This window comes from Homo sapiens, chromosome 3 (genome assembly GCF_000001405.40).
Source record: "Homo sapiens chromosome 3, GRCh38.p14 Primary Assembly".
In the NCBI taxonomy this organism is placed as follows: domain Eukaryota; kingdom Metazoa; phylum Chordata; class Mammalia; order Primates; family Hominidae; genus Homo; species Homo sapiens.
This window is the reverse complement of record NC_000003.12, coordinates 45,036,444-45,049,006: the sequence shown is the minus strand read 5'-3', so window position 1 is coordinate 45,049,006 and position 12,563 is coordinate 45,036,444. Positions and strand designations below refer to the sequence as shown.

The following is a 12,563-nucleotide window of genomic DNA, read 5'->3' as shown; positions in this document are numbered from 1 at the left end:
GTGCAGGTGTCTTCTACATTATTAGAGAAAGTTCCAGGTGGAGGGGTGGGGAAGGCAATTATGGAGTGCCTGTTCCTTAATACAGATAATTCTCTTAGGAATGCAATCCTTTCCTAAGAGAACACATCTAAGGGAAGCAAAGCTAAGGTAATTGTACATGCCGATTTTCTGGTACATCTCTGATTTTAATAGTATAATTATTCCATTACCTTGTTATAGCTTGTATAATTTTATTATACATATTATATTTTGCATAATTTTGTTTTAGTGAAGGGAATTCATTACTTGTCTGTTCTCTGAGAAGCAGACAGGATGGGATTAGAAGTGTAAGAGATGTTTTGGGGGCAACACCTGTGAAGGATCCAGGGTTCAAGGGAGCAGGAATAGGCAGGGAGAGCCCTCCACAACACAGGTCCCACACCTGTGTAAAAGAGAGAGCAGGAAAGGCTAGGTGGAAGAACCTCAGACTGCAGTACAGTTCTGAGAACATCTTGGCCAGATTGCTGGGGAGTTCCCAAGCTAAAATTCTCCATGAGAGGAGTCACCCTCGTTGGGTAGGAATGGATCAGCACAAACGCTCCTACGTACTCAGTCACTGCCCAGAGGCAGCCGGGGTAAGTCTGGTCTAGTGTCCTTAGGGGTGGCAGCCAAGGCTGTCAGTCCACTCTGCTCCTTGCAGCAGGTTCTGTTAAAGGGATCTGAGTGGTGCCCTCCATGGCCATATTGGCTTCAGCTGCCACTACCACTTTTTTTGAGTCTTTGAATCCATTTAAGTTCTCCTAGAAGCGGAGGCCAAGAAGGAATTAAACATACAAGAGATTGATTAAGGGAAATACCTGTGAAGGATAAAGGCGGAAGAGAGCAGAAAAAAACCCCTATACAAATGTGCCTTAAACTGTATACTGCTGGTGAGTAAATACATTCGTACAAGAGTCTTTGTTTTTGTTTTTTAAAAAAAGCTTTTGTTGTGCATTCTGAATTTTGCTTTGGGAAATATGGTTTCTTTATGTCATGTTAAGTAACAGAATTGCAATTAGAAGCATCAAAAATAAATAAATTCTACTTCAACTACTACATTTTCATGGCACCTTTCTGTGAGGAAATTTGCAGCTACCCTCTACCTCAGTGGTTCTCAGCTTCTCAACTGGGGGTAATTTTTCCCCCCAGGGGACATTTGGACTGGTCTGCAGACATTTTTGGCTATCACAGCTGAAGCAGGGTATTGCTGGCGTCTAGCGGGCAGGGGTCAGGGATGCTGGAAAACATCCTACAATGCCCAGGACAGCCCCCACAACAAAGAATTATCCAGCCCCAAATGCCAATAGTGGCGAGGTTTTGAAACACTGCCCGGCTGATCCTCTTAGTCCTCTTGCAAGGAAACCAGCAGCACAGGTGACTTAAATGGGCACTGAGGGGCATTCTAGATAGGCTTAGTGGGGAGACTTCTGAGACTGGGAGCTCTCATATGGAAAGGATTATCCCTGAACCAGCCCCAGAGCAACAGGGCAACATACAGCCATCTCCTAATGGTAGACCATTCATGGAAATCAAGCATTCTGCAGAATAGCACCCTCTGTCCTATTTAAATGGTAAACTCTGGCTTAATGAATGCCCCAAGTCCCCAGTAGATTTCCAAATATGTAACTAAAACACTCACACACGCACGCACACACACACACACACACACAAATCCCTTATGTAAGTTACAGAAACTATCATGTCAGAAAGTAAAATGCCGTAAAACTCGATTCCAAGCACTACACTTCCTATACAGCAACATCTGAAAGAGGTGTACCCACACCTGCCCTGCCATTCTAACCATTGTCTTTGGGATGTAATCTGAAACTTTCCCAGCCTATCTTGATTAAAATCCACTGAGTCTTGTGGACTGTCAATAGAAATTTTTCTTAAAAACACTGGATGAAAAACATTGAGAGATACATTTTGTGGGGTTTGAGTATTAAAAATCCAGAAGCAACACAGCTTGCCAGGACAAAAGAAAAAAAAGCCAGAGGTATATTTGACATGGAAAATGTTCACTGGAAACATGTGAAGCATATGCTTGTATTTTAGAGCCCCAAAACACTTTTGGGGGGCCAGGAAGAAAGATTTTGTTGACATTTTTTTCCTCCTCATTGACCTCTAACTCTGTGTGTTGTCCTAGTCAAGCTGGTAAGCAGCTCCAAGGGGATGCTGGATCACTGGAGATGTTAGGAGCCCTACATTGAGAGCATGGAAACCTGGATTCCACCTCTGCTTACTTTGTCTTTATCAGTGGTACTCAGAGATGCAGATAGCTTTGTCCTCAACTGCAGGACATGGACATAAACACGAAGGTACGGCCAGGCGCGGTGGCTCACTCCTGTAATCCCAGCCCTTTGGGAGGCAGGCGGATCACCTGAGGTCAGCAGTTCAAAACCAGCCTGGACAACATAGTGAAACACTATCTCTACTAAAAATACAAAAATTAGCCAGGCGTGGTGGCCCGTGCCTGTAATCTCAGCTACTTAGGAGGCTGAGGCAGGAGAACTGCTTGAAGCCAGGAGGTGGAGGTTGCAGTGAGCCAAGATTGCACCATTGCACTCCAGCCTGGGTGACAGAGTGAGACTCTGTCTGAAAAAAAAAAGAAAGAAAGAAAGAAAGTACAATGTTAAGTGTATGTAAGCCCCCAGTTGGGCTCCATCCACCTCCACCCAGCTCTGTGCCCTGGGAGTCTGACCAGACTGCATTGCCCGGACCCACGGCTAGCTGGCTTCCAGCTGGCTTCCCCCAGTGGAAAGCACCTGCAAGAGTTAAGAGGTTGTACAGAGGCAGGTGCTGGGCTCTTTCCTCCCAGTCTCCTCTGTGTGCTTTGCTGCATTTTCTGTCTATGGCTATGTCCTCCACCGAGAGATCGCTTATTGCGTGGACCGGCTATGGCTCCAGCAGCATTATTTCCTCCTGTGGCCTTCTGCCTGACAGGGTACTTCCCGCTGTGGCCAGCCTCTGAATGCCTTAATATCCCTTGTCGTTTTGCTGAATAGTACCCAGAGCTGTGTAAGTATGGGAAGCACTCACTTTGCACAGTAGTCTAGGACTGTAAAATGGCCATGTAAGCTGAAACCATGCAAAACAATCTTAATAATCGATGGGGAAGAGGACGATTGTCCTCTGACCTTTCAAAAATGTTTGTCAAAACATTAAACTTTCTTACTGTCAGTAAGAGAAAAAGTCGCAAAAATTGATATTAAATACACTAATTGAAAACATTAGAAACATTGGAAATTAAAGTGTTTTCTTTGTGAAAATCTTACCGAGAACCGTTTGGACAGTGCTTGCCACTTCCTTCCCATTATATATAGATTTCGATTCAGTGGGTATCTTTTCTATTCCCGGAAAATTGTCATCCTCCTTCTCAAGCTTGGATTAGTTCTTACATTTTATCTTTCTTGCTTTCAATGTCACAAAATATCTCTAAGAATTCCTTTTCGTGGTTTTTTGCTGGCATCATTTCCTCCAGGACATCTTTATCCTTTTTGCCACAGGCACTGTTGTCATTTATGTAGATAAGCTCACGGTCACTACGTTCCTCTGGTTGCATATCCAGAACTTCAAACAGCAGCAGCATCCACCTTCCCACAGTCAGCTTTTTCTTTTCTAACTCCATTTATATTCTACACAAACCTCACTTCCATCATTCTCACTTTGCATTTCTTTGCTGCATTTTTATCTTTATTAGTCAGTTCCCTCTTTCAATTATCCATTTTTGTAAACTGTCACATGAATTTCTCACCAGAAGACAAAGTGCAACACAACTACACACTGTGCTGCCAGTGGATGAGCTGAATAACAGGCACATGGTGCCCAGTCACCAATACACTTTGAAAGAAGCAATGTGGTGGGTCACTGATCATGCAGCATATCTGTTAGTGATGTGTGGCCTGAAGAGTTAGCAGTGAAATTATACTTTAGCAAGGGGCCAGGTGCAGTGGCTCACACTTGTAATCCCAGCACTTTGGGAGGCCGAGGGGGGGACATCACTTGAGGTCAGGAGTTTGAGACCAGCCTGGCCAACATGGTGAAACCCCATCTCTACTAAAAATACAAAAATTAGCCAGGTATGGTGGCATGTGCCTGTAGTCCCAGCTATTCAGGAGGCTGGGGCTGGAGAATCACTTGAACCCAGGAGGCAGAGTTTGCAGTGAGCCGAGATCATGCCACTGCACTCCAGCCTGGATGACAGAGCAAGACTCCATCTCAATAAATAAAAAATAAAATAAAATAAAATTATACTTTACCAGTATAACAATGTAGCTGAAATTTGAACTATCTGGTTGGGGGACTGTGTTATTTAACTAAAACATGATCATTGATATTTAAGCATATCAGAACTGTATAAATTGAGGACTGCCTGTAATCCTTTCAGTCTTTTTTTTTTTTTTTGAGACAGAATCACACTCTGTTGCCCAGGCTGGAGTGCAGTGGTGCGATCTCGGCTCACTGCAACCTCTGTCTCCTGAGTCCCAGTGATTCTCCTGCCTCAGCCTCCCAAGTAGCTGGGATTACAGGTACGTGCCACCATGCCCAGCTAATTTTTGTATTTTTAGTAAAGATGGGGTTTCAGCATGTTGGCCAGGCTTGTCACAAACTCCTGACCTCAGGTGATCTGCCCACCTTGTCCTCCCAAAGTGCTGGGATTACAGGCTTAAGCCACCAGGCCCGGCCTCATTACAGTCTTTTGAACTGAGTTGGAATCTGTTTCCTACTGGGACATGACTGGTAAAAGGGTGCAACTAACTCTCCAAGGGAGTGGGAGAATAAAAAAGCTGTGCAAAGTTTAGTCAAGCTCTGCCACAGAGTCACAGAGCCAGCAATCAATGATCCTACCATGCAGGAATAGGCAGGTAGGAAGCTACTTAGGGGCATAGCACTCTCCTAGGTTCATGCTCTTTAAGAAGAGGCCTCTTGAGAGGGCTAATTCCAAAGCAAAGGCTGAGAAAGCCATGCTTAGGAACTAGGAATTTGTTGAAAAGGAACTAGGATTTAACCCAGCCGCACAATTGAAAACATTCTTCCTCTACTGAAAGACTCATAGGAGCAAGCTTTTGGGAACCAGACGGATGAGTCATCATTTAGTCTTCAAGATCTTTTAATTCTCCTGCCCCCTAGTTTCCAGTTCCCTCCAACATTCAGGCTTTGGGTCTGCAATGGCTCCATGACACAAACTTCTAGTTGCTTCCCATTTGCCCTTTCCTTAAAGAGTTTAATTTAATTTGGGTGTCAAGGTAACTACTTAAAAGATTGCACTTCTCAGCCTTCCTTACAGCTACACACTGGAAAAAGTTCTGGCCTATGCGATAGATATAAGGAAAAGAGAACACTCCTTAAAGGAAGCTGACTGGAGGCCAGGCACGGTGGCTCATGCCTGTAATCCCAGCAGTTTGGGAGGCCGAGCCGGGCAGATCACCTAAGGTCGGGAGTTCAAGACTAGCCTGACCAACATGGAGAAAACCCGCCTCTACTAAAAATACAAAATTAGCCAGGCATGGTGGCGCATGCCTGTAATCCCAGCTACTAAGGAGGCTGAGGCAGGAGAATCGCTTGAACCTGGGAGGCAGAGGTTGTGGTGAGCTGAGATCACGCCATTGCACTCCAGCCTGGGCAATAAGAGTGAAACTCCATCTCAAGAAAAAAAAAAAAAAAAAGGAAGCTGACTCGACCTTTCTTACCCATTCTTCCTTTCTGAAGTGGGGATAATAATGGCTGGAGCTCCAGCAGCCATCATGGACCCTGAGGTGACCTCAAAGATGGAAGCTCCATGCTAGGATGGTAGAGTGGAAAAATAGAAGGAACTTTGATCTCCAATGACCATGAAGTGGCCAGACCAGCACTGGACTACCTGGCTCAAGTTTTCTGTCTTGTTTAAGTCTCTGTTTTTATTTTTTTAATATATTTTATTTTATTATTCTTCTTTTTAAAGATGAGAGTCTTGCTATATTGCTTAGGCTGGTCTCAAACTCCTGGGCTCAAGCAATCATCCTGTTTCAGCCTCCTGAGTAGCTGGGATTACAGGAGTGGGCCATCATACCTGGCTAAGTCCCGGTTATTCTGGATTTTAAACCAAATCTAATCCTAGCTGATAAGCATGCCTACTTCCTACTGAAATTAACTGATTACACTAAGTTCTTCAACTCCAACCTCTGCTTCTTGTTAAAATCAATTTAAAACGACCAATCTGATTGTCACCAAACCTGGTTAGTGTGCATGGTACCATTGCTCAATAGCTAGAGTGGTAGGAATTTCTTGAGGAAGACTCAAGAAATGGGAAGAGATATTCTAGGGCTGATGAGTTTTTTTCCAAAAGCCTAACCTAGGAGGCAGCTGGCTTCACATAAGTCTGGTTCCCAACCACTACATCTTGGAATCACCTGGGGAGCTTTAAACACTACCAGTGCCTGATTCTGCTCCCCAGAGATTCTGATTTAACCAGTCTAGAGTGTAGCCAGGGTATTGGGTTTTCTAGAAAGTACTTCAGGTGATTTTACTGTCTGGCATGGCCTGAGAACCACTGACCTAACTTTCAATTTGGCCAGATCCTTATTAGTTCAGAGCCAACTGCATTGCCAGACTATCTTCCCTAGAGAATTGTCTTTCTTGTATAATAAGGAACTAGGTCACAGCTGAGCTCACTGTGGTTTTTTCCTACCCAGGTAAAGTCATGCTTTTTGTTATCTCTTATGTAGGGGAGTTTCGTTTCCAAAGCTTTTTCATCGGTACCATTGTTCCACAATCTTCATAATTGTGTGCCAAGCAGCAGGGCAGAGCCTTTACACAGGTGTAGTCCACAACAGCAGCGTGAGGGAGGGAATAAGCCCACCTGCCAGATGGGAAAACAGCCTCAGAAAGAGTGATCCTAAGCCTGGGTCACTGTGGTTCCCAGTGGATGATCTGTTCTTCACCTCCCCGTGCACATCTCTCATCATAGAAAGCTAGCCTGGCTCGTGGAAGCAGAGTATCTGGTAGCTAAACAGATGTGGACTCCAGGCCCTTCTCTGCTGCCTTCACTAATGGCCTTGGAGAGAATCATTCATAGGTGATTTGAAGTGATACAGTAACCACAGATAAACCAGCCATGGCTGACTTGAGAGGCTAAGAAACTTGTCTTCAGCTTTCATGTCTGTGAACTTGGCTCTGCTGCTCCTCCCATTTCAAATCATGCAGATGAAGAAACCACAGTTCAAACAGTGTGACTTCTCCAAGGCCACAAGACTAGAAGGTGGCAGAGCTGGAATCTAAATCTAGAGTTTCTTTCTGACCTAGTGTCACTGCCACTGACAACCTGGTTTAAGAAAACCCTAGAGGTTAGAGGAAGCCCTAGTTTCCTAATTTGCCTTTGGCCTAGCTGTGTGGCTTGCCTGTCCTCATCCAAAAAGCATTTTCCTACCTTATTGTCCAATTTTCTCAACAGTGCAAACCAGGAGAGCTACTCTCAAAAGCAGCTCCATCCATTTGTCTTTGAGCTCTTAAAAATGCCGAGTGTCCTGTCAGGTGGTAAACAACAACTCAAGAGCAGGCTCCAGGCAGAGTGCTTGGTGCATAGTAGGCACTCAATACTTACCAGGTGTTGACTTGGAGAAATGGTTTGCAAAAAGCTACTTCCTACTAAAAAAGTGAGACTCCTGGGCTCATTCTCTAGCAAGGTGTGTGACCATGGCTGGTCATTTAGCCTCCCTGTACCTCAGTTTCTTCTTCTAAAGATTGCATTGGGCCAGACACTGTGGTTCATGCCTGTAATCCCAGCATTTTAGGAGGCCGAGGTGGATGGATCACCTGAGGTCAGGAGTTCAAGACAACATGGTGAAACCCTGTCTCTACTAAAAATACAAAAATTAGCCAAGCATGGTGGAGCACGCCTGTAATCCCCACTACTAGGGAGGCTGAGGCAGGAGAATCACTTGAAGCCAGGAGACAGAGGTTGAATTGAGCCGAGATCACATCACTGCACTCCAGCCTGGGCGACAGAGTGAGACTCGGTCTCAAAAAAAATAAAAATAAAAAAATAAAGATTGCATTGATGTTTCTCCCCTGGCTGTGTTCTCACATTGCATGAAACAACAGTGCCTTCTAGTGGAGAAAAAGGTTAGTTGTTTTGTGGGTTGTGCCATGATTTTCAGCTTGAAAGATTCATAAACCATGCTCATAGATGAGTCACCCATGAAAAGCAGGTGAGCTAGAGCTTACCATTAGGCCTCAGAATAGCCCTAAAAAATCTGAGTGGAAAATGTGTTTTTACAGGAGGCTGTACCACCAATCACAAATACACATCAATACACATCACTATCAACTCTCCTTTACACATCTTTCACAATCACATCAAGAAAATCTTAAAACTTTCTTCAAGATCCAGGAAGGACTTGATTTATATAGCAGATGGCATGTGGGCTTTGGAACGCAACAGACCTGTGCTGAAATTCCAGGCCCATCACTAAATGTTCTCACAAAAGTTATCTTTATACCTCATTTTCCTCAATTATGAAATAAGTTTAGTAATACCTCCCTGCTAGGTTTATGAATATTAAATGTTGCCCAGCTCATGGCGAGGGGCTTTGGGGTCAGTGCAAACATTGTTAGTTTTGTTTTTATTAATATCTCCTTTTTATCTGTGCAAAGCCAAAATCAAAGGAAAAAGTGTCACCTGGGGGTCTAAGGCATTAGGGCCACATCAGCAGAGCAGTGTTTTCGGATGAGGCAAAGATGTGCATGTTTGCGCATGGAAGAGAAGATTGCTTTCCATGGGCCAGCTCCAACCGAGGCCTGAACCAGCCTTTCTCTCCCATACAACTAGTGCTTATGCAGCAAAGGTCATGGTTTATGGTGGGTGGGAGAGACCTGGGGGAGTTACGGAAACAGTAAGACTGTTATTTGCAATGGTTCAAGCAGGAGACTTGAGCCCCACAGCAATGGAATTGGAGGAGAGGGAACAGATCAGAGAGTTCTTTGGGAAGCAAAAATCATAGAGTCCTGGTAATTACTTGGATCTCAAGTGTCTCAAGACAGACACTAAGTCACCTTTGATGCCCCACAGGTTTGGCGTTTGGGTAACTGGGCAGGTGAGGATCTTCACAGAGATGGTAAACTCAGGAAGAGGAGCAGATTTGAGTGGAAAGACCCTGAGTTCCCTTTTGGACATGTTGACATAGGTGCCTAAGGGCTTCTAGGTGGTGGTGTCTACCAGGCATCTGAACGTGTACACATTTGGGATTCAAGAGATAGCAATGGCCAATAGTCACTGCAGAAAATGAGACAGTCAGTGAAGGGGATGAGCCTTGATGGGCAGAGGAAACAGCCACCATTTCCATTCTACAAAATAGCTTTCTTATCTGGAAAGGATTCTACAAAAACTTTCCTGAGAACAGTGGGTAGAATCTTGAACTCAGGAGTCTTAGAGATCATCTAATCCAAACTTCATTTTGCGGATGAAGAAACTGGGGGCCAAGATGCCCCACAGGCCTTCTCCAGGGTCCCACAGCCAGAACTGCCAGGACCAGCCTCAGGTCTCCCATGCACCCCTTTCTTCACACGGAGGGTCTCCATCTGTACTGCCTCCTTCCAGCTCTTCCTCCCCTTGGCCGGGATGGGCTGGGGTGAGGAAGGGTGAAGGAATGACCAGAAGGGAAAGGAGGAACAGGAACAGGCACAGCAGAGGTGGTGGAGTGAGGAGAAGAGAGCAAGACTCAGCCAGGTCTGTGCACATGGCTCCCACACACTAGTGAAGGCCAAGAGCTGACAGAAGGATCCTTCCCAGAAACCACCTCCTCCTGCTTGGCCATCCTCACAGATGCCGAGGGCAGCACTGTTCTCCAAGAAAGGGCTTAGGCCAGTGCCCCTGCAACTTAGTTTTCTAGCATTCCCCTAACACAATTACCATTAGCACAATTGATCAAATCAGAACAGGTCTATGACATATTTTTATAAACACAATTAAACACTACTCTTAATCAGATGAATAGAGTTCTTAAAAATTGGCTCACATATCTAGCAGAATACAGCAGGATTCAGCATCAATAAGATTCCTATTTTTCACTTTTAGAGTTGTTAATGTTGAGAAACTTTGTTCAGATAAGTAAGTTGGTGAGACTGAAAGGAGTTTTGTTATAGCAGTGTCACTTAGTCCTTGAGCTTCTAAGGTAAAGGTCAAAAGTGTTCTGTCAGGAGGGAGAGAATTAGGACAAATACCTAAGGCATGCGGGGCTTAAAACCTAGATGATGGGTTGATAGGTGCAGCAAACCACCGTGGCACATGTATACCCATGCAACAGACCTACACATTCTGCACATGTAACCCAGAACTTAAAGTAAAATAAAATAAATTGTTAAAAAGAAAAAGTGTTCTGTCATTGGAAATTACTTCGTATGGTCTATCAGCTGAGAACTTGATTAAGCTCATCTTGGAGGTTAAAGGCAAAGGATTAGAAACCACTAAGTTTGCAAAACGATTTTTCACATGGCCTTTTACTTAACACCTAAACCAAGATTTCAATTCGTCTTCTGTTTGGCATCCCCAAGGATTTTTACACACCAGGCCACACCCCATGGTAAGAGCAGGAAGGGTGAAGAGCTGGCCTTTCTTTTGTAAAATGGAAAAGGGAGATTGCAAAACAGGAGGTGGGAAAGAAAGCCTGTTCCCCAGGCCTGCACCAAGGTAGCTCAATTCTAGTAAGGAGTAATACAAAAGAAAAGAGTAATAGAAACTGAGTCACTTAAAACGATCATTGTTTGTATAACCCCTGGGAAATTCTCCAAAGTGTGTACCTCTGAGGCAGGGCAGGGACTAGTGAGATGAGTGAGGCATTCACCTGGGGCACAAAATTTAAGGGGATACCAAAACTCAGTAAGCAAGAGAAATAATACTTGAATGCAAATTTTTTTAAAAATCAGAATTAATGTTCAAAAAATGGTGAACAAAATGTCAGAATTTTAAGTAAAGACAAGATTGAAGGACAGGTATACTCAATTCGAAGTATGCAGATCTCAGCAGCCCAGATGTAAGCACATGGGTGGTAGATGAAAGATGGGTGATGATACTCTTGCCCATACTGCCACCTGCTGCTGGAAGTGGAAAATGCCGACTGTCTTCCCAAAGAGTGTCACAGCAGTCGACCAGGTTCCACACTCACACGCAGAGGCATGAGTGCCCTCTTGTGGGCAGCCACCCAGTTCAGGAACTTTAAAAAAACCCTGTTCAGCCGTGCCTGGTGGCTCATGCCTGTAATCCCGGCACTTTGGGAGGCCGCGGCCGGCGTATCACAAGATCAGGAGATAGAGACCATCCTGGCTAACACGGTGAAACCCCGTCTCTACTAAAAATACAAAAAATTAGCAGGGCGTGGTGGCAGGCGCCTGTAGTCCCAGCTACTCGGGAGGCTGAGGCAGGAGAATGGCGTGAACCCAGCAGGCGGAGCTTGCAGTGAGCCGAGATCGTGCCACTGCACTCCAGCCTGGGCGAGAGAGGGAGACTCCGTCTCAAAAAACAAACAAACAAAAAAAACAAAAAAAAAAGCAGAACAAAACAAAACAAAACAAAACCCTGTTCACCTATATCCCGCTAGGAAGCTGAGTGAGGGATGAAAAGAATCCAAGACTCGGAGTTACAAGATGTAGATTTCAGTCTAAGCTTTGCCTCTCGCTTGCTGAGGGGTCTGGAACATACCACATCACTCTTCTGAAGCAGTTTCTGGGCTTATGCCAATGGATCTCATCACCTCCTCCAACAATCGTTGAAATTGTTGAATTTCAAGAGGTCCTTTCTGTGATGATGAGGAACAGGCTGCCTGGCATGAAGTACGTACATAATTCTCTGTAAGCTGCCTCCCCCAACCACCCCATCTCAATCGATCAAATCAAACTATCATCCACTTATTATTACTGAAGGCGAGACACACTAGAAGACAACCAGAGAGAAAAAGTTACTGCAGAAGCCCAGACAGTGGAGCACTGGCGGTGGCTGAAGGATAAGGAAGACTCCCCCAGGAGGGGTCACTAGAGCCAGGCCCACGATGGCTGGGTGGGCCAGGTCAGGCCAAGAGCTGGCCAACAGCCTCTGAGGACCACTGGGCCACTTCTCTGATGTTTTATTTCAGTGACGTTCTGGCCACACGAAGCAAGCATTGCAGTGGTGGTGGAAAGGCCAAGGCCTTTGGAAACAGCCCTGGGTTAAATCCCGGCTCTGCTACTTACCAGCTTCAGGACCAGTGGAAGTCCCCAAACCTCCCTGAGTTTCAACTCACTTTGCTTATTTTAAATGGTGATAATAGCACAGCTTGTCCTGGGTGGATCACGTGAAATAAGACAACGTATTTAAAATGCCTGCGCCTGGACCCCTGAGCAGCTTTCTGTGAAGAGTGGGAAGGAAAAGGACGCACGGGTCGGGCAGTGCTGGCCGTCGTATTTGGCTCCCGGGATGTCCTGAGGAAGAAGGGGAATGCCCAGCTCCCCACTCCCCGCCGACCCCATAGCAAGAGTCAGCATGTCAGTGCCTCCCAGAAATAGATCTACAGCAGGAGAGGTCAGCAGTGGGGGCATCC

The 12,563-nt window shown here is 45.3% G+C and overlaps 2 annotated features.

The window, feature by feature from the left end:
- Positions 8,146-8,265: a silencer, noted in NCBI's record as "silent region_14278". NCBI's record gives its function as "represses an Ori minimal core promoter by ATAC-STARR-seq in GM12878 lymphoblastoid cells {active_cell/tissue: GM12878}" and the evidence as "EXISTENCE:reporter gene assay evidence [ECO:0000049][PMID:35858748]".
- Positions 10,973-11,022: a silencer, noted in NCBI's record as "silent region_14277". NCBI's record gives its function as "represses an Ori minimal core promoter by ATAC-STARR-seq in GM12878 lymphoblastoid cells {active_cell/tissue: GM12878}" and the evidence as "EXISTENCE:reporter gene assay evidence [ECO:0000049][PMID:35858748]".